The sequence below is a fragment of the Homo sapiens genome, chromosome 8 (genome assembly GCF_000001405.40).
Source record: "Homo sapiens chromosome 8, GRCh38.p14 Primary Assembly".
Classification (NCBI taxonomy): domain Eukaryota; kingdom Metazoa; phylum Chordata; class Mammalia; order Primates; family Hominidae; genus Homo; species Homo sapiens.
Genome location: NC_000008.11, coordinates 99,551,716 through 99,574,691, shown reverse-complemented (window position 1 = coordinate 99,574,691; position 22,976 = coordinate 99,551,716). Strand labels below are relative to the sequence as shown.

The following is a 22,976-nucleotide window of genomic DNA, read 5'->3' as shown; positions in this document are numbered from 1 at the left end:
CTCTATTTTAGTTCTTCTTTATGTATTCCCAGCTTTCATCAGTTATTTAGCAGAATATTTTTACCTGAAATTTAAAATTATTAATAATTTCACAATCCAGCATATAAACAGAACCAAAGACAAAGACCACGTGATTATCTCAATAGATGCAGAAAAGGCCTTTGACAAAATTCAACAACGCTTCATGCTAAAAACTCTCAATAAATTAGGTATTGATGGGACATTTCTCAAAATAATAAGGGCTATTTATGACAAACCCAAGCCAATATCATACTGAATGGGCAAAAACTGGAAGCATTCCCTTTGAAAACTGGCACAAGACAGGGAATGCCCTCTCTCACCACTCCTATTCAACATAGTGTTGGAAGTTCTGGCCAGGGCAATCAGGCAGGAGAAAGAAATAAAGGATATTCAATTAGGAAAAGAGGAAGTCATATTGTCCCCGTTTGCAGACGACATGATTGTATATTTAGAAAACCCCATCCTCTCAGCCCAAAATTTCCTTAAGCTGATAAGCAACTTCAGCAAAGTCTCAGGATACAAAATCAATGTGCAAAAATCACAAGCATTCTTATCCACAAATAACAGACAAACAGAGAGCCAAATCATGAGTGAACTCCCATTCACAATTGCTTCAAAGAGAAAAAAATACCTAGGAATACAACTTACAAGGGATGGGAAGGACCTCTTCAAGGAGAACTACAAACCACTGCTCAACGAAAGAAAAGAGGATATAAACAAATGGAAGGACATTCCATGCTCATGGATAGGAAGAATCAATATCATGAAAATGGCCATACTGCCCAAGGTAATTTATAGATTCAATGCCATCCCCATCAAGCTACCAATGACTTTCTTCACAGAATTGGAAAAAACTACTTTAAAGTTCATATGGAACCAAAAAAGAGCCCTCATTGCCAAGACAATCCTAAGCAAAAAGAACAAAGCTGGAGGCATCACGCTACCTGACTTCAAACTATACTACAAGGCTATAGTAACCAAAACAGCATGGTACTGGTACCAAAACAGAGATATAGACCAATGGAACAGAACAGAGCCCTCAGAAATAATGCAGTGTATCTACAACCATCTGATCTTTGACAAACCTGACAAAAACAAGAAATGGGGAAAGTATTCCCTTTTTAATAAATGGTGCTGGGAAAACTGGCTAGCCATATGTAGAAAGCTGAAACTCAATCCCTTCCTTACACCTTATACAAAAATTAATTCAAGATGGATTAAAGACTTAAATGTTAGACCTAAAACCATAAAAACCCTAGAAGAAAACCTAGGCAATACCTTTCAGGACATAGGCATGGGCAAGGACTTCATGTCTAAAACAACAAAAGCAATGGCAACAAAAGCCAAAATTGACAAATGGGATCTAATTAAACTAAAGAGCTTCTGCACTGCAAAAGAAACTACTATCAGAGTGAACAGGCAACCTACAGAATGGGAGAAAATTTTTGCAAGCTACTCATCTGACAAAGGGCTAATATGCAGAATCTACAAAGAACTCAAACAAATTTACAAGAAAAAAGCAACCCCATCAAAAAGTGGGCAAAAGATATGAACAGACACTTCTCAAAAGAAGACATTTATGCAGCCAAAAAACATGTGAAAAAATGCTCATCATCACTGGTCATCAGAGAAATGCAAAACAAAACCACAATGAGATACCATCTCACACCAGTTAGAATGGCAATCATTAAAAAGTCAGGAAACAACAGGTGCTGGAGAGGATGTGGAGAAATAGGAACACTTTTACACTGTTGGTGGGACTGTAAATTAGTTCAACCATTGTGGAAGACAGTGTGGCGATTCCTCAAGGATCTAGAACTAGAAATACCATTTGACCCAGCCATCCCATTACTGGGTATATACCCAAAGGATTATAAATCATGCTGCTATAAAGACACATGCACACGTATGTTTACTGCGGCACTATTCACAATAGCAAAGACTTGGAACCAACCCAAATATCCATCAATGATAGACTAGATTAAGAAAATGTGGCACATATACACCATGGAATACTATGCAGCCATAAAAATGATGAGTTCACGTCCTTTGTAGGGACATGGATGAAGCTGGAAACCATCATTCTCAGCAAACTATTGCAAGAACAAAAAACCAAACACCGAATGTTCTCACTCATAGGTGGGAATTGAACAATGAGAACACTTGGACACAGGGTGGGGAACATCACACAGCAGGGCCTGTTGTGGGGTGGGGGGAGGGAAAGCATTAGGAGATATACCCAATGTAAATGATGAGTTAATGGGTGCAGCAAACCAACATGGCACATGTATACATATGTAACAAACCTGCACGTTGTGCACATCTACCCTAGAACTTAAAGTATAATAATAAAAAAATTATTAATTTCAAAGGAAGTACATGGTAAAAGATGAAACTGGAAAACATTATTGAGAAAGCAAAGTTTGTGCTGGTATAGATCTTCAAGTCCACTGCGTATATTCTTAGTTTTCATTTTATCAACTAATAATACATTTATGTTTCGTTAGCAAGCCATACCTCAAATTTCCCTTCAAGCTATTAACTTAATATTCCTTTTAAATATGCCCTTATTATTCCCTTATATCATAAAATGATAAAGTTCAAATCAGAGAATTGGCATAAATTATCTCATGAAAAAGCCTAGTTAAAATTCAAGTCTTTCTACACCATTTTTTGTTTTTATCAGAGTAGTCCAGAGAATACTCTGGTCTTTTGTTAAACTTGCAATGAGCAGAGCTCTATATGGTGTCTGCCAAAAAAGCAAATTGGATCATCTGGTTCTATGACACATAAGTATTGGATTTCAAGAAAGTCAATTCTAAAGAATTAAGAGATCTGGTGAGTAGAGAGTAACCGGAAGAAGTATTAAAATCTGTGACTACAGAGGAAGGGTTGAGATCCTGAGAGACATCATAATTATAGCCTAATAGCTCAAATTCCATAAAATGACCAATGTGAGAAACATATAACATCTGATGTGCTCTCATAGGGGAGTGCTAAAATATATGATGTATTAAAAATACCTTAAAATGGAAAAGTTGGCAGGGAACCAAATAAGAGCAAACACTAACAACCAAGGGCAATGAAAAAAAGGGTACTTGTCCATATTATACATTTCTCTCCATCATGTGATAAATTAAATCAGTAACACAAAATATGAAAGACCTTTGACCTTAGAAGTAGTAACAAAATATAAATAAGTCAGTAGTCTTATAAAACTATTATTTTTCTGGTATATAGTATTAAGTTTTATGATATCTCTGGTAAATATTTGAGGTAATGGTAAATATTTTTAAAAATCATTGAAAATCTTTACAGATTCAAATATTTTCAGGAATAAATTCAAAAGAAAAACAGAAAAGAAACACTGAATAACTACAATTAAGAATTAAATTCTGTCAATATTTTACCATATAACAGTCTAAGTTTCAAAATTCAAAAGAAGGAACTAAAACACAAAGTATTAACTGAGGTTGTTAATGACCTTAGGGTCATTAAATTGAGAGGGTCAGCACTCTTAATGAATCAAGGGAACAGAGTTTAACAGGTATTTGAGATAAGGCAAGGATTTTTAAATGAGCTGCCTACCTAGATCTGGGGCCCCTGAAGGGCCAGAAAAACATCAACCCATCAGAAACAGGAAAGAATAAGAAAGTTTGCCTGTCTTGGCAAGAGAGCTTGTTGAAAAAACAAATATCTCCCTGGAAAATTAAAAATAATGAGAAATATCCTACATGTATTAAGTGGCTCTAACTTATATTACCTGGGTGGTCCTCAAATACCCCTTCTGTTATTTATACAGCAGTAGCACCAGAATTTTGATAACCCTGGGGCATCTGTCAGAAACAGATGCAAAACCTCTCTAGAAAACATGTCCTCAATGACAAAAAGGATACTCAAGGGAAAAAGATCATTGAAGATAAGCTTCTAATACAGACTATTTTATATATACATAAAAATCCTTATTAGCAAGAGGAAAATTAGATCCCATTTTCAAAAGCATTATCAAGAACTTTTGATAATAAAATTTTAATAGATACTAAATTACAATAAAAATTTTGCTTAAAATTACTAAAAACATACAGAATTAAAAAAACATAAGAAAAAAAGCAAGGCACTATTCAAAAGGGCAAATCAGGTTTCAAAAACAACCAAAGAGAATTTCCAAAAATAAAAAATACAGTTACTAAAGTTAAAGACATAATAGGTGGGATAAATAGCATTTAGATATATCTTAAGACTAGAATATAGATTTGAGAAAATTCCAGAATGTACTAAAATAAATTTTAAAATGCAAAGTTTAAAAGGAAAACGAAGAGACATGGAGAGATGAGTCCAACATATATAACTAGAATTCCAAAATGAGAGAACAGAAAGAAAGGAAAAGAGAAAATACTAAAGAAAAAATAGCTGAGGATTTTCCCAGAAATGATGAAATATAAGAATTCATAGACTCAGGAAGCACAGTGTGTCCTGGTTCAGACAAATACAAGGAAATCCACAAGCAGACATATCTTGGTGAAACTGCTCATCACCCATGATGATGAAAAGATATTAAATTCAGCTGGAGAAAACAGATTACAGCATTCCAAGGCACATAGGGTTATAGGAGCTGTAGAATCAATAATTCGCTGATGTACTCCAATAAAACAATGGTTTAATGTATGTCTATATTGTCCACATAAACAAAGAAATGGTATAATTATCTGTACCTATCATGTAGTAATATAGAGGATTATGTCCATAGAAATTTATTAAACCCTCGATGAAAATAACAAAACATTGACTATTTTAAGGTTCTAAGCAAATAACAGAAAAATAATCATGTGAGTTGGCAAAAGCTGTTCTAGTAAGCTTTGGGAGGTATAGATTGTAAACAAAAAAAAAGTATAGTTCTCTGAAATTGTTACTAAGCAAGAAGGCACAGGTGTATGCCACATGCACTCAAGAAAACACATGTGTCAGAAAGGCTGTGGTCATCTTTCTTGGACTCAGAATATTTACACTAAGGTTCTTCTGCCCATCTGTCATACATTTTGGTATGCCTTTGTGGGAAATACTAAAGGAGTTTAAGAATCACACTTCAAAAACTGCATATTATGAAAGACCAGAAGTAGGAAAAGTGGTACCAAGGTTCCCAAAATATTCCACCAAAAAAGTCAGAATAAGAAATGCTAGATGGTCTGTGTGCACAGAGCAATTCTTTTTTCTTTTTTTTTTTTTCCCTTTTGTGTATGAGAAAGGGTCTCCCTCTGTCTTTGTCACCCAGGCTAGAGTGGAGTGGCATGATCTTGGCTCACTGCAACCTCTGCCTCCTGGGCTCAAGTCATCCCAGTACCTCAGCCTCCTAAGTAGTTAGGGCTATAAGTGTGTGGACTGCACACCCGGCTAATTTTTGTATTTTTTGTAGAGACGGGGTTTCGCCATGCTGCCCAGGCTGGTGCACAGAGCAATTCTTATGCAACATAAAGATTTTCTTAGTATGTCATTATGGCTGAACTTTAGATGGAAGATGCTAGAGCAGAAGATACTTAAAACTTGTGGTAATCGGCCAGGCGTGGTGGCTCACACCTGTAATCCCAGCACTTTGGGAGGCCGAGGCAGGCGGATCACGAGGTCAGGAGATCGAGACCATCCTGGCTAACATGGTGAGACCCCGTCTCTACTAAAAATACAACAACAACAAAAAAAATTAGCCGGGCGTGGTGGCGGGCGCCTGTAGCCCCAGCTACTCGGGAGGCTGAGGCAGGAGAATGGCGTGAACCCGGGAGACAGAGCTTGCAGTGAGCCAAAATTGCGCCACTGCACTCCAGCCTGGGCGATAGAGCAAGACTCCATCTCAAAAAAAAAAAACAAAAAAACAAAAAAAAACTTGTGGTTATCACCTGAGACCATCTCTTACAGTAGTTATTCCTAAATATGAAAACAGTAACATTCCCAAACATTTATTATAAACAATCTGCTACCTGGAAAACTATGTGTTACATAAACCTATTCCTAGATATTCTTCTGTTTATATTAATGGGAGGCATAAAGATAAATAATTTAAATCCTATAGGAACTTAAAAAATGAAATAGTTGGCCAGGCATGGTGACTCATACCTGTAATACTAGCACTTTGGGAGGCCGAGGTGGGTGGATTGCCTGAGGCCTGGAGTTCAAGATCAGTCTGGCCAACATGGTAAAACCCCATCTCTACAAAAAATACAAAAGTTAGCCAGGCGTGGTGGCGTGGGCCTGTAGTCCCAGCTACTTCGGAGGCTGAGGCAAGAGAATCGCTTGAACCCGGGAGGCAGAGGCTGCAGTGAGACGAGATTGCACCACTGCACTCCAGCCTGGGTGACAGAGCAAGACTCCGTCTCAAAAAAAAATAATAATAATAATAATAATAATAGTTATCGGTATATATCCATTTAGAGGCTTTTTTTTCAACAAGAGCACTATCCAATGACTTTCAAATGCAATTAAAATAAAATTCAAACTCTCTCTGACTTACAAAACCGTTCATTATTTAGCCCTTTTCTCCCTAAAACTCCTCTGCTATTACTTCTTTCCTCCCAGCCAGGCATGAACCCTTAAACGTGCTCAACTTGTTCCTACTCGAGTGTCTTTGCTCTTCCTAAAACACTCTCAGCAGAAACACTCCAGGTGTATTTGAACAGATAGCTCATTTTTGTCATTCAGGTATTAGAAGGGGCCTTCCCTGAGCTCCAATCTAAGGAAATTTCCCAATTACTCTTATTATATTACCCAGTTATATTATTTTCATAGCATTTATTACTCTGAAATTGAGAAACATGGATTGAGGGCTCCCTATGGTGCCAGGTCCTTTGCTAGGTGCTGAAACAACAATGGCAAAAATGGATACATAATGTTGTTTCTCACGGAATTCAGTTTAGCAGGAAAGATAACTAAACAAAGTAATCATAAGGTATGATAAGTATAATAATAAGGAAAGTACAGAGAGGTGTGGAAATACTCAATAGGGGACCTAATCTTTTATCTCAAGGTGCTGAACATACACAAAGAATCTATAAAGACATATAAAGCATCTTGTGCACAATGCTACAAGAACTACAGCTTGAAATGATGATTTTTAAGGTACATTTAAAGAAAGTATCAGTATAAATTTAGTTCGGCAAAATTAAATAATGTTAAAATAAAATATTCTCATTCTTGAAAAAAAAAAAACACCAACAAAAACTTTCCTGCCAAAACAAAAGAACAAAACAAAGGTTAATATATTTGTAATGGAGATCACAAGTGCTACGTCTATTTATTACAATATCTAGAAGACAGTTTTATGAGCATACTAAATTAAAATATTAACTTAATTCAATTTTACTGAGATGTCCAATGGATAATAGCTCTGATTCCAGTTGTTTATATCTATAACCTGGAACTGCTGGTCATCTAATTTTACTTGTTAGAACTTTTCAAAGGAAAAGCTTAAAAAAAAACTTCATGGAAGAGGGAGCGACTAGGGGTATTGCTGAATGTTTCTCAGAGAAGAGAACATTAGAAACTGTGTTGAGGATTTAGATAGGAATATACTAAGGGAGAGAAGGTCAGGAGATTTTTTAAATTTCATTTTTAAAGCTTCAATAATATGGCTGGGTACAGTGGCTCACACCTATAATCCAGTGCTTTGGGAGGATGAGGCAGGAGGATCGTTAGAGCCCAGGAGTTGGAGGTTACAGTGAACTATGATCACAACACAGTGAACTATAAGTGACACAGTGAGACCCTGTCATTCATAAATAAACCAGTAAACTTCAATAGTATGTACTGTTGTACCAGTTATAGTGCTCACAGAATTATACAGGATAATGTATAAAAGTTACATGTTGTACAAATGCTTTTAAAATACATTCTTGATATAATCCTGTTTGGCCCCTTCTCTTAAAAAGAAAACACCATGGCTGGGCACAGTGGCTCACGCTGGGCACAGTGGCCTCTCACTACTTTGGGAGGCCAAGGCTGGTGGATCACCTGAGGTCAGGAGTTCAAGACCAGCCTGGCCAACATGGTGGAACCCCGTCTCTACTAAAAATACAAAAATCAGCTGGGCGTGGCGGCACATGCCTGTAATTCCAGCTACTCAGGAGGCTGAGAGGCAGGAGAATTGCTTGAACCCAGGAGGCGGAGACTGCAGTGAGCTGAGACTGCACCACTACACTCCAGCCTGAGTGACAGAGTGAGACTCCATCTCAAAAAAAAAAAAAGAAGAAGAAAACACCATAGGAGGGAAACTGGCTATTTAGGGCTTTGGTCAGTTGGGTTTCAATGAATCAAGGCATTATCTATCCATCCATCTTAGCTGTAAGATGACTGTAAAGTAATTGAAAATACAGAAGATTTTAAAATTTTATCGTATGCTACCATGATAATTATATACAATTTAAACATTTTCTTATTTTTTAGTGCCTACTATATCAGTCAGTAACTACACTAAGATATAAAGAAGAGTAAGACCAGGCAAGACAGGATCTCTGCCCTGTTATATCTACACCATCTTTTTATATTGCCACAGGACACTCTCAGCCAACATGTAAGGAAGAAGATATCTGCTGGCTGCTAAGCATGAAAAACCAACTGCTGCCTCCTGTTGTAACATGAATCCTTTTGCCTTCCCACTCACTTTCCAGGAACTTTTTAGGCAGGAAGAAAAATTCACATTTTTCATGTAAAGGCATGGTAAGGTTTAAGGAAATTATAAAATCATATCATTCAAGTAGGTTTAGGTCAATCTAGGCATTAACCTACAAAGTATGAGAATTAGATTTGGCCTCCCAAAGTAGTGAGAGACCACTGTGCCCAGCATGAGCCACTGTGCCCAAATTTTGCTTAGGTCTTAGCTTGACGTCCTCACAAATTAGTAAGATAAAAGTGATGTTTTTCAGGTTGAAAATTTAAAACAAAGAAAACTTCTTTCTTTCCATATTCCTATCTACAATTCCAGATGCAATTCTGGAAAAAATCTCATGTTTGATTAATCACTAATCAAACTATGCTGGGGGTCCTGTGCGGTGTGAACATTTGGGGAATAGTCTCAAAAATAAAAATAAAAGAGATCTAAGGACACAGAGAATAGTCGTAATCTCTCAGAAATAAAGCTAGAAATATATGGTTTAGGAATTTTAATGCCTACACATAGCCATAGTTCCCCATATTCAATGTTACCAATCCTGAGAAGTATAAGACTGATGAACTTTAGGAATATGTCATGTCAGATTCAAAGTCAGCTTGCTAAGCAAACATAGTAACAACAATTTTTAAAATTCTTTATGTGTAAAAAAAAAAAAGCCCACAGAGTATTACATGTAATTTATTATGTGTATATAAAAATATTTTAACAAACAAATATGCTGTAACTATTTCTCTGACAATGAAGTTTAAAAGATAAATTACCTAACAAAATCAAGTCAGAGATAGGAAGAAATAAAAGTATTATGATCAAAACAAAATTATTTACTTTTAAGTGTACTTTTGCAAAGTCTATTAGAATTATATCTTTAAATATTATACATGAGAAAATTATATCAATATTAACTTGGAGAATTAAGACTTAGTGGTACTTTCAGGTAATCATAAGATAAACTTTCCACCTCCCCCTAAAGCACTAGTATCCATATAAAGCAGCAAGTCACTTGAATGTGCAAACTGCACATGGCAGACATCAGTACATTTCCTCAGATTATAAAATAAACCCAGATGTAGCAAAAATGTTGCTAAGAGAAAAAGAAAAAGAAAGTGATTAGCTAACAATGGACTTTAGCACAAGCCTACGAGGTCTGAGCCTTGAGCAGAAGAAAAGTAGTTGACTAGTAAGAGGAAGGAAACCAAGGTTCTACACATAGCTCTATTTTTTGTGACACTGGACAAGCCAAAGAACCACTTCAAATTTAGTTTACTGTAGTTTTTGTTTTATAACAACTTCCTAAGAATAATTCAGAGTTTAGAGTTTTGCAAAAGAGGAACCTTAACAACATTTGGAAGATGGAGGGAAATAATAGCCAATATTCTTTGCAAGTCTTCATGTTTTAAATGCAGTGAAAGACCAATGGAAAGGTGCTGGCAGATTCTGGCTTGTTCTCACTTTTCCTGTCTCTGTGATCACTTCTTCTTCCTGACTCTTGACCCTGCTGAACAACAGCAACTCCAGCCTCCCGGCCTTACCCCAGATGCAGAGGCCACAGCCTCCCATTAATGTCTATCAGCTCTCTGGTGGTTTCAGTCCACCAGTTGGATGTGCTGCCGGATGTTTCCCAGGTTCTTGAAAGCTCCAAAGTTTTTAACCAGGTCAAGTGCTTCAGGAGGGTTGGTTGTGACTTTGATCCTTCAACTCCCTCTTCTGGACCTTTACTTCTCAGCTTTTTCTACAACTGGGTAAGATTTTATGCCTAAAATGAATCTCTTACTCTGTAATACTCTATTGGTTCTGCTGCCTTAATTAAACCATGATATATTCCTTTGGAATAAAAAAAAATTAAGGTTTTAGGAACAGAAGATCTTCAAGTTTTAAAATCTGATGATTCTCTACACTTAACTTCCCTACTCCCCACTCCCTACAACATACACATAGAAGCACATCACAATTAAAGACAAAATTTGAGTAATGTACCCAGAGGAATGAATGAAAATCATTATAAAGGTTGCCATTTAATATTGGTCAGGGAAGTAAACACATTACTCTTCATTATATCTTTTGAATTTCATCTATATTACCTATTCAGAAACAGAATTATATTAAAGTCCTATTTATACGTCTGTCAAGATTAATCATCAGAACTAAGCTACAACAGATCTAAAATTTTCTGTTTTTATTTGAATGAATATCTTTCATAAACATTCACATTCAGTCTCTTGATTAGTTGGCCCTACTTAATCATCACTCTGTCATTAATTAAGTTAGCCTTTATTTGGTATCTGTTATGTGCCAAGCATGACATTATGTGCCAGATAAAACATGCCACACTTTCATACTTCTAGCCTCTGGATCTACTGCTTCCTTCTTCGGAATGCTCCCTCTACTCTGCAGGCACCCATACTCTGTGGAAACAAGTTCAGAAGCCATGCACTCTGTGAAACCTTCTCTGAAACCCCACCGATAGACTCAATCATTCATTTCTCTTTTTTTTCTTTTAAAAAGAGAAATGAATGATTGACTATTTTGTACCTATGTGAACTTTGCATTAATTTATCTTTTTGCTTATGTGCCTGTGCCTAAGATCTCCTATGTATATGGAATATATTTATCTTGATTTGGATGTGTTTCTTCTGTAAGCCTAACTATGCTGTATTTGTCTATCATAGCATTCTTCACACTGCATTCTAATAGTTAAATAGCAAGTCTGTTTCTTTGATTGGATGCTGAACTTCTTACAGGACATATACTAGAATAATATTAGAAATTATTTCATTTTGTTTCTCCAGTGTAAAAGACCTTTGATGGCATACACTAGACATTCAAAAGTCTGTGTTTTTTATTACTCATTTATTTATTTGAGACAGGGTTTTGCTCTGTTGACGAGGATGGAGGTGAAGTGACATGATCATAGCGCAATGCAGCCTTGAACTCCTGGGCTTAACTGATCCTCCTGCTTCAGCCTCAAGAGAAGCTAGGACCATAGGTGCATGCCACCATGCCCTGCTAATTAAAAAAATTGTGTTGTTGTTGTTGAGACAAGGTCTCACTATGTTGCCTAGGCTGATCTTAAACTCCTGGCTTCAAGCGATCCTCCCGCTTTGGCCTCTCAAAATGTTAGGATTACAAGCATGAGCCATCAAAATTCTGTTAATTTTTGACCACACACAGCCATCAAAAGTCTCTGTCAATTTTTGATGAGGGTGACAGGATCATTCAATGGGGAAAGACTAGTATCTTTAGTAAATGATGACAGCACAACCGGAAACCCATATGTTAAAAAATGAAATTGGACCTTTACCTCATACCATAAACAAAAAAATTCCATTATAAAAAAATTTCTAAATCATATATCTGATAAGGATATAGCATCTAGAATAAATAAAGAACTCTTACAACTCATCAACAAGAAGTCAAGCAACTCAATTAAAAAACAGCCAAAAGGCCAGGTGCGGTGGCTCACACTGGTAATCCCAGAACTTTGGGAGGCTAAGGCTGGTGGATCGCTTGAGGTTAGAAGTTCGAGGCCAGCCTGGCCAACCTGGGGAAACTCCATCTCTACTAAAAATACAAAAATTGGCAGGGCACAGTGGCAGATGCCTGTCATCCCAGGTACTTGGGAGGATGAGGCAGGAAAATGGGTTGAACCCAGGAGGCAGAGGTTACAGTGGGCTGAGATCATACCACTGCACTCCAACCTGGGTGACAAAGCAAGACTCTGTCTCAAAAAAGCGTGGGGTGGGGATGGGGGGGGCAAAAGACAAATAAGCTTTTCTCCAAAGAAAATACACAAACAGCCAACAAGCACACAAAAAGCTGCTCAAGTTCATTAATCATTATAGAGATGTAAGTGAAAACCACAATGATGTACCACCTCACACCCAGTAGGATGATGTGTTAGCTTACCAAAAAACAAACAAACAAAACAAAAGAAAGAAAGAAAAGTGAGTATTAGTAAGAATGTGGAGAAACGAACCCTCAAACATTGCTGGTGGGAATACAAAATGGTTCAGCCATTTTATGGTTGAAAAGAGTTTGGCAGTTTCTCAAAAAGCTGAACATAAAATTGCCATATGACCCTGTAATTCTACTTCTAGGTGTATACCCAAATATGTGAAAACAGGTACTTGTACAGCAATATCCATAGCAACATTATTCACAGTAGCCAAAAAGCAGAAACAGCTCAAATGTCCATCAGTGGATAAATGGATAGACAAATTGTAGTGTACAGATGATCCTCAACTCATAATGGGGTTCCATCCTGACAAACTCATTGTAAGTTGAATGCATCATAAGTCAAGAATGTATTTAATACACTTAACCAATCAAACATCATAGCTTAACCTAGCCTATCTTAAATGTGTTCAGAACACTTACATTGGCCTTGGTTGGGCAAAATCATCTAACAGAAAGCCTAGCTTATACCAAAACACTGAATATCTCATGTAGTTATTGAATACTGTACTGAAAGTGAAAACCGGAATGGCTGTACAGGTATGCAAAGTACAGTTTCTACTGAATGCATTATTATTTTTGCATCATCATAAAGTTGAAAAATCTTAAATTGACCCATTATAAATCATAGATCACTTACATACACACAGTGGAATATTATTCGGCTATAAAAAGATTGAAATACTGATATATGCTACAATTTGGATGAATATACAAAACAGTATGCTAAGTGAAAGAGGCCAGATATAAAAGGTCACATATCATATGATTCTATTTATATAAAATCTCCAGAATACATAAATTCATACAGACATGATAAATCCAGATTGGTGAATTTAGAGGCAGATTGGTGGTTGCTAGGAACTGGAAAGAGGGAGAAAGATAGAGACAAACTGCCTACCAGGCAACGGATTTTACTTTGGGGTGAAGAAAATGTTTTGGAACTAGACAGAGGTGGTAGTTGCTCAATATTGTAAATGTACTAAATGCCACTAAATGTTCACCTTAAATGGTTAATTTTATGTTATGTGAATTTATCTCCATAAATTATTAAAACACATACACACATACACAAACCATAAGTTAAATGAATTAAAGAACAAATAGGAGAGATACAACTAAGGCTAGGTGGCCATAAAATTTCCTAGAAAAATAAGGCTCATGTTCTTTGTTATGATAGAATTTGTGATTTTTAAGACACAATAACCTGTGACTTTTATAAGCTGGCACCTCCTAAATCTGAAAACTGTGTAAAGATAAGGAATAGGAAGGCTTGAAGCTGGATGCTATCATGTGATATTTAGAGGTTATGATTAGTGTAGTTGATGCTGTGGTGTGCCACCAAGATTCTCCTTTATGATGAAAATATTCACTTCCCAGCTGCCATGCAAGTTGCATGCTGATGACTCCATTATTGCATTCCTCTCTGAAATTTACCCTGGCTGGCTGTATGTGCTTCTTCATCCAAATTTACACCCCTTCTCAGGGGCACATTCAATCACTTGTCAGTGAAGGACTACAATAATACATTTTATATACGGCAGTGCTATGTTCTAGGGATAAATCAATGAACATGATGGCGATGATCTCTGTCCTCAGGACCCAGAGGTAGTTATATAAGTAATTAGAATAAAATATGTTAAGTGATGTGATAGGAGCACACACAAATGAGACTTAACTTGGTCTTCTGACAGGCTCAGGGAAGGCTTCCTAGAAAACACGTCTACCATGATTTTATATTTAGAAAATCCCATCGTCTCAGCCCAAAATCTCCTTAAGCTGATAAGCAACTTCAGTAAAATCTCAGGATACAAAATCAATGTGTAAAAATCACAAGCATTCCTATTCACCAATAACAGACAAACAGAGAGCCAAATCATGAGTGAACTCCCATTCACAATTGCTTCAAAGAGAATAAAATACCTAGGAATCCAACTTACAAGGGATGGGAAGGACCTCTTTAAGGAGAACTACAGACGACTGCTCAATGAAAGAAAAGAGGACACAAAGAAATGGAAGAATATTCCATGCTCACAGATAGGAAGAATCAATATCATGAAAATGGCCATACTGCCCAAGGTAATTTATAGATTCAATGCCATCCCCATCAAGCTACCAATGACTTTCTTCACAGAATTGGAAAAAACTACTTTAAAGTTCATATGGAACCAAAAAAGAGCCCACATTGCCAAGTCAATCCTAAGCAAAAAGAACAAAGCTGGAGGCATCACGCTACCTGACTTCAAACTATACTACACGGCTACAGTAACCAAAACAGCATGGTACTGGTACCAAAACAGAGATATAGAACAATGGAACAGAATAGAGCCCTCAGAAATAATGCCGCGTATCTACAACCATCTGATCTTTGACAAACCTGACAAAAACAAGCAATGGGGAAAGGATTTCCTATATAATAAATGGTGCTGGGAAAACTGGCTAGCCATATGTAGAAAGCTGAAACTCAATCCCTTCCTTACACCTTATACAAAAATTAATTCAAGATGGATTAAAGACTTAAATGTTAGACCTAAAACCATAAAAACCCTAGAAGAAAACCTAGGCAATACCATTCAGGACACAGGCATGGGCAAGGACTTCATGACTAAAACACCAAAAGCAATGGCAACAAAAGCGAAAATAGACAAATGGGATCTAATTAAACTAAAGAGCTTCTGCACAGCAAAAGAAACTACCATCAGAGTGAAGAGGCAACCTACAGAATGGGAGAACATTTTTGCAATCTATCTATCTGACAAAGGGCTAATATCCAGAATCTACAAAGAACTTAAACAAATTTACAACAAAAAATCAAATAACCCCATCAAAAAGTGGGTGAAGGATATGAACAGACACTTTTCAAAAGAAGACATTTATGCAGCCAACAGACACATGAAAAATGCTCATCACTGGCCATCAGAGAAATGCAAATCAAAACCAAAATAAGATACCATCTCACACCAGTTAGAATGGCAATCATTAAAAAGTCAGGAAACAACAGGTGCTGGAGAGGATGTGGAGAAATAGGAACACTTTTACACTGTTGGTGGGACTGTAAATTAGTTCAACCATTGTGGAAGACAGTGTGGCAATTCCTCAAGGATCTAGAACTAGAAATACCATTTGATCCAGCCATCCCATTACTGGGTATATACCCAAAGGATTATAAATCATGCTGCTATAAAGACACATGCACACGTATGTTTATTGTGGCACTATTCACAATAGCAAAGACTTGGAACCAACCCAAATGTCCATCAATGATAGACTGGATTAAGAAAATGTGGCACATATACCCCACGGAATACTATGCAGCCATAAAAAAGGATGAGTTCACGTCCTTTGTAGGGACATGGATGAAGCTGGAAACCATCATTGTGAGCAAACTATTGCAAGGACAGAAAACCAAACACCGCATGTTCTCACTCATAGGTGGGAATTGAACAATGAGAACACTTGGACACAGGGTGGGGAGCATCACATACTGGGGCCTGTTGTGGGGTGGGGGTAGGGGGGAGAGATAGCATTAGGAGAAATACCTAACGTAAATGATGAGTTAATGGGTGCAGCACACCAACATGGCACATGTATTCATATGTAAGAAACCTGCACGTTGTGCACATGTACCCTAGAACTTAAAAGCATAATAATAATAATAAAAAGAAAACATGATGTCTACTCTGAGGCTTGCTAAATGATAGGAGCTAGGCAAGTGAAGAGGGTGGGTTATGACAGTTACAGGTACAGAGAAGATCACATATAAAGACCTAAGGAGTACAAACTATATTTTACTGTTTGGTTTTTGATACATTATTTATCTTTTGTAGGCCTTAGTTTCTTCATGTATAATTAGGGAAAATAACAGTTATTACCTGGTAGGATTATTGTGAAAATTAAGTTAAATAAACTGGGTAAAGTGATAAGCGTTGCATAATCCATTATTAATGTTGCTGCTATTATTATTGCCAAGACATGGACAAATGTAGTTTTGGTAGAAAAGGGCAGAACCTAAGCAATCAGAATTGCAAAAGGCATACAATGAAGTCTTCAGAAGATGTTTTCAAGAAATTCAATCAATAAACCACCACGGTATGTTACAAGCAACAGGTATTACTGATTCTATTTTATAAAGAGAAAAGCAGAAGAAAAATAATTAATACTTTCTTAAAATCATAAAGACCTCTAGTTTTACAATATAAAGGTATGTAGCTTTAATGCCTAATACCGCCTTTCTAGCAAATGATTCTACCTATTTCTCCGATGAGAACCACAAGTAGCCTGGGAAAGGTGGCAGTGACTATAAATCGTTAAGAGTACACATTCAGGACTACTTCCTTTAAAAATGTTCTCTACGAGATTTCTTAAAGAACTAAAAGTAGAACTACCATTCAATCCAGCAGTCTCACCACTAGGTATCTTTTCAAAGGAAAATAAGTCATTATATGAAAAAGACACATGCACACACATGTTAATAGCAGCACAATTCGCAATTGTAAAGAGGTGTAAACAATCGAAGTGCCCGTCAACCAATGAGTGGATAAAGAAAATGTGGTATATATACACCATGGTCTACTACTCAGCCATAAAAAAGAATGAAACAATGTCTTTTGCAGCAACTTAGATGGAACTGGTGGCCATTATTCTAAGGGAAGTAACTCAGGAATGGAAAACCAAGTATCATATATTCTCACTTATAAGTGGGAGGTAAGCTATGAGAATGCAAAGTCATAAGAATGATATAATGGACTTTGGGGACTCAGGGGTGGGGGTGGTGAGGAAGGGGAGTGAGGGATAAAAGACTACATATTGGACTCAGTGTATACTACTCAGGTGATGGGTGTACCAAGATCCCAGAAATCACCCCTAAATAACTTATACATGTAACCCAAAACTACCTGTACCCAAAAAACTATTGAAATAAAAAAAATTTAAAAAGATCTATCAACATAGTTGCTTTTAGTTAAAGTGGATGGAAAAAACCCTAGAGCCAGAAACTCTTGTTTTTCCCCACACTCTAACTTAAACATAACTTTGCAGAGTATTCATTAACTTTTCTTGTTATTATAAGCAAAAAGGAGAGTCTAAACATCAAACAATTGACCCCAAATACAATAGATTTTAAGAGAAAATGTGTATCCTTTAGCCTGAAGTAGATTCTTTCAATAAATAGTAAGCTTTTTTTTTCTATGCTAACATAATCCTAAATTTGTAATAATTTCAGTGTAACACTGGTAGGACTAGCAGGTTTCCATGCCAAATCATCAGCTACAATTACAAAATATTTTTTATGCTTATAATGAAAAGCAGAAGCAATACCAAAATACTTAGGTTGGTTGGACATGCTAAAGATTGTATCACCAACTATTCTGGCAATGAAGTATTAGAAAGAGTAGAAAGTTTCTCAATCATTTCCTACCTGCTGGCCATATTCCACTCAAGGGCTGGATTTTGAGAATTCCTTTCAGTCTCTGTTACCACCCCTCCTGAGACACTTTCCTTCTCTGGTTTTAGTTGATGCCACTGTGCAGTACCAATATTGATGGACTGCAGATCTATTTGGTATTGTCTGTCTTCGATTTCTGATCCAGGATCTCGAAGAATTCCTAAGTTCAAGGCTCTCCTGTAAAGGCAGCGAAAAAAACAAAAATAAAAACAAGAAAACAGATAAAATAACCATTCTATGTTTATTTTGTTCACTAACATAGTGTCAATACCATTTTTTTCCTTTGGATTACTGATGAATAAACTGGGGCACATCTATGAAAAAGGTTTCAGAAAGTTAGTACATATTATGACTTGAAAACATATCCAAAACTTATCACTTACAGTAATCTACACTATAATGATTTATTATGTTATTCCTGGCACGTTACTCTTTTTCTAAGTACTCTCACATACATGATTTCAATCCCTGAGATGCTCTGAGGTTCTATTTTATGTCCATTTTTACCAATGAGAAAATAATTCACAGAGTTTGAAAGACAGCTAAAGTTACAAAACTAGTATGGGACAAAACTACAACACAAATACAGGGTTTTTTGTTTGTTTGTTTTTTGTTTTTTACTCAAAACCCTTTCCCTTGCTAATCGTCTACTTTCTTCTGAGCTTTGATTTCTTGTTAGGAAAGGTAATGGAGCCTTCTTAATCTATTTCACCCCTTCAACCCTTGCTCTTCATTCTTTATATAACCCAAATGTAGTTGTTGAGAAATGACAAGGTTTCTGATGTAGAATAACAGAGAGGTTTACTGCCCTATATAGAGTTGGAACATACAACGTTGATCCTATTGGGTCCACTGCTAAGTAAATGAATAAAATAATCTGTAAAGTTAAATTAAAGGAAGTAAATACATAAAAATTTTCATGAAGGTTTTAGAGTAAAATAGCAAGGCAATAAGGTAGGGTGGGAAGCACAAAGTTTGAGAGCCAGAGAAAACTTAAGTCTGCCTGAATTTGGGGCTTTTTTCTTATGTTAAGTTTTGTTGGTTCAGAAAAGTTTTAAAGTAGATGATCAAAAGAAAAAATAGCTTTTGGCCCCCATAAAAGTTTTTATCAGAAGAAAAGTTGAAATAACAAAGAGAATAAAAATAGCCTTACTAGTAGAAATATTTTTAAAAGCTTCAATTACAGACATTAGAAAAAAATACAATTAAGTTAATTACATCAGTTGAACACTAACGAAACTTATTATTGGGAGGTGATGGGGGTCCTAGTGTGAAAAGTATAGAAAAAGGCAAAATCTGATTCAGTTTATGCCTTGGTTGACTAAGAAGGTGTGGAGGTCAGAACAAGCACTCCCAGAGGCTGGTTAAATGATAATGGACAGTGAATGACTGCTCAGACTCAAGACAACGGGTGTCTGGGCCAGCTGCTCAGGACTGGGCCAGGCAAGGTGAGGGCTGACATTAATTAATTCAAGTGAAGAGAGAAGCAAGGAGCAGACCTGAGTGGAATAAGCAAGTGGCTCAGCTAGTGAGATGTCAGAAAGAGTTATGAACACGGGAAAAGGGGAACAAACAGCCACTGGTCAACAAGCCAAAGCAGGAGCCAGAGAAACTGAGGATAATTCTCATGATTCCTAAGGTAGGAGCTGGATCTGTGTTTTCTCCTTTCTAACTTAGAAAAATTACAGGAAAGGTGAACTAAAATTTTATACAAACTCAAGAACTGCATGAGAAATAGGGCTCATAAGTGGGCCATTAATCCTTTCAATTTGCCTTAAGGTAAAGAGAAAAGGAATGAATGACAGTGGGGGTATGAAGGAGAGGCATTTTGAGAGTCTCTCTGTAGAAGAATGTTCTAGTTTCATTTAAATATTGGTGTAATTTTGTTAATTCTTAAAGGCCCAGCTCAGCTAACTCTGTTTTTATGAAGCTTTTCCTGATCACCCTTCCTCCAAACTCCCCTTTCCCAAATCTCTGTTCTTAGGGTCTCTCTATGCTTGTAAATATAATAATACCACATTGACTTATCAGTCTTCCCAAATATACCACACATTCTTGAGGTCAGGAACTATCTATACTATCTAGCAACAGGTAAATGCTGTTTCAATTCACTGATTTGTACTGACATAAATCTTTACAAATCTCAGGCGGAGAACCTATCTGTACACAGCAATAAGAGCACATAGTCTTTAAAAGACTAAACTTTTGAATCAGGGCCACATAAATTCTGATAGCCAGCAAATATCTGAGGCAGTTGATGGCCTAACCTATTTCCCTAGATTATTACTCACCATATAAACATTACTTTTACCTATTTTAAAACAGCCAATGCTCTCTACATTTTAAATAAACTCCCTAAACATATTTTTAAGGTGAACTAAAATACTTTAAGAATACCTTTGAAGGAAAAAAAATGAAAACAAAATTAGTGCTATATTAAAAGACAAATCAACCTAATCCCAATGTAAACAACCGATTTCCTATTTCCCTTGATACATGGAAAAGCTGTATAATTAACAAGATTACAATCACAAAAACACCAAGTTTCATCAGACTTTTACATTGCTTTTAGGCTTGAAATTTCCCATTTTTTTTTTGGACTTAAATTAAGCTATGTTTCTCCTGCCATCATTTATCAATTATTTCCCACAGGTTCTTCTTCCCTATGCAAAAATACTTTCCATTTTGAGTGATAGCCAGATACTTCCAAAAATGGTAATTTTCAAATTTCAAACTTTTAGGGATTAGGATTAGTATTTCTATATTTTTTCTTATTGCTTGCTTTTAAAATTAAACTATATATTTGATATATTGACATATATGTGACATACTTGATTTGAAAAAATTCAGAGTAATTTATAATATTTGAGTATATAAATCCAACTTAAAAGTTAATTGCAAAACCTTCCAAATCTCAGTTGGGGAAAGTAGGATAAGCAGCTGATTTATGTGAGTTTTAGTCTCAGACTTTCCAATGATCATGAGCTTGCAGAAATTATTTAACTTCTCTGTGCTTTAGCTATTTTGATATGACTATTATAAAGATAAATAAAATATATGTGTAATTGAAAAACTATTCATAAAGTACCTTGTAGATTTTATGACTATTATGGAAGTATATTATCTTATATGATTCTGAATGAACAGCATATTTAAATCACCAACTAATCACAGATGCACAAGTATCAAGATAAAACAAAATCCACTTTATGAATGAACTGCAACGAAAACGATAAAGATAAATGTTCCTTAACATTTCTAGTATCACCTATTTCTGAATATGGCATATTAGAAACTCTGAATGAACCTCCTGGCTCTCATAACAAATTGCTTTAACAAATCTAAAGTATTTTTTCAGACACATCCTGGAGCCAACACCAATAACAGAATAACAGAAGCTGGGAAGTCTCCCAAATAATGTGAAACCAGGAACCATGATAAATAAGCACCTGCCAAAGCTGGCTTTTACTCTAAGGTTTTCTGCTAAATCCTGCAGATACTGATTTTCTGCTCTGTTAACTGCACAGGAGGAGATGAAGCTCAGGGCTCACGCAAATGATGAATCTATTTAATAGAAGACAATTCACATAAAGCTGAGATCACGAAGGGTCACCAGTAGTGAAAGGGTGAATTAGAAACAGCCCTTCTACGGACCTCTGTGGTGATAGGACAGTTCTGTATCTTGATTGTGATGGTGGTTACATGAATCTACATGTGACAAAATTACATAGAGCACTATATACATTAACACAACTAAGTGCATGTAAAATTGGCAGAATCTGAATACAACTGTGTATTGATTGTACTAATGTCAACTTCCTGGTCTTGATATTGTACTATAGTTATACAAGACGTTTCCATTGAGGGAAACTGGGTAAAGTGCACACAGGACTTCTCCAAATATTTTTTGTAATTCTTTATGAATCTATATTTCAAAATATATTTTTTAAAGCAACAGTTCTCCTTATGCTCATGTAGAAATGGACAAGGTAATTTATCAACTTACCTGTCTTTACCTTACTAATGGGTAAAGGGGAAAAAAAAAAAAACAAAATAAAAACCAACCAACCCACAAAACCCAAACTAAAAAGCAATGTTCCAAGATTTTGCAGTCATGAGCCAGGACTTGGAAGTTTGAGTCTCACATATGGTATGAACAAAAATTCAGTCTGGACAGTCTTGCTCCAGGTAGACAGTGCTGCCAGATGACATGTAAAGGCAAAAGTAAAAGCACAGTCTCTTGGGATGAAATCAATTTCAACTCAAAGAACTTCCACAGATCAGGTTCCAAGTGAAATGAGACACTCACAGACAAAATTCACAATTCACACAACAGCAGTAACAATGGACAGACTAGCAAACATAAAATATAAAATAATTATTTAAAAAGTAAAAAAGCATCTTCAAAGTATGAGCAGGGAACAAGACTTTAAAAAGAACCATGTAGAACTACAAATGAGAAAAAAAATAAAACTCAAGCAGATTAAGCCCAGCTAAAGTGATAGTGAATTAAAAGAAAGGTCCAATGAAATCCAGAATTTAATCCAAAGAGACAAGGAAATACTATAAATGAAAGAAGGTTAAGATTCATGGAGAATAGAGAGAGAAAGTCTAAAAAATGCTTAATTAAAGCTTGAGGGAGGTAATAGACAGAACAAGGAGGAGGCAATATTTGAAGAGATAATGTCTTATAATTATTCCACAATTATTGAAAAATGCCAAGCCCTAAATCCAGGCAGCCCAAAGTATCCCAAGAAATAATCATAAGGAAGACATTGGTAAATATATGACTAAGTCTAAACATATATTATGTTTAAATTAATAATAATGATGTCTAAATTGTGATGAGAAAACAGGCCAAAAATAAGACACTGGATAATAATATATAAATAAGGGGACCAGATAATTTGA

General features: G+C 36.1%; 1 protein-coding gene across 2 annotated transcripts in view; it reads right to left on the bottom strand.

Annotated features, from left to right (window-relative positions):
• Positions 1-22,976, bottom strand: part of VPS13B (vacuolar protein sorting 13 homolog B) — an 864,307-nt gene that overhangs the window by 302,889 nt on the left and 538,442 nt on the right. For both annotated transcript variants that reach the window (NM_152564.5, NM_017890.5), the window contains exon 31: positions 18,039-18,242. In NM_152564.5, the coding sequence (NP_689777.3) occupies positions 18,039-18,242 (204 nt within the window). The remainder of the gene's footprint in view (positions 1-18,038; positions 18,243-22,976) is intronic.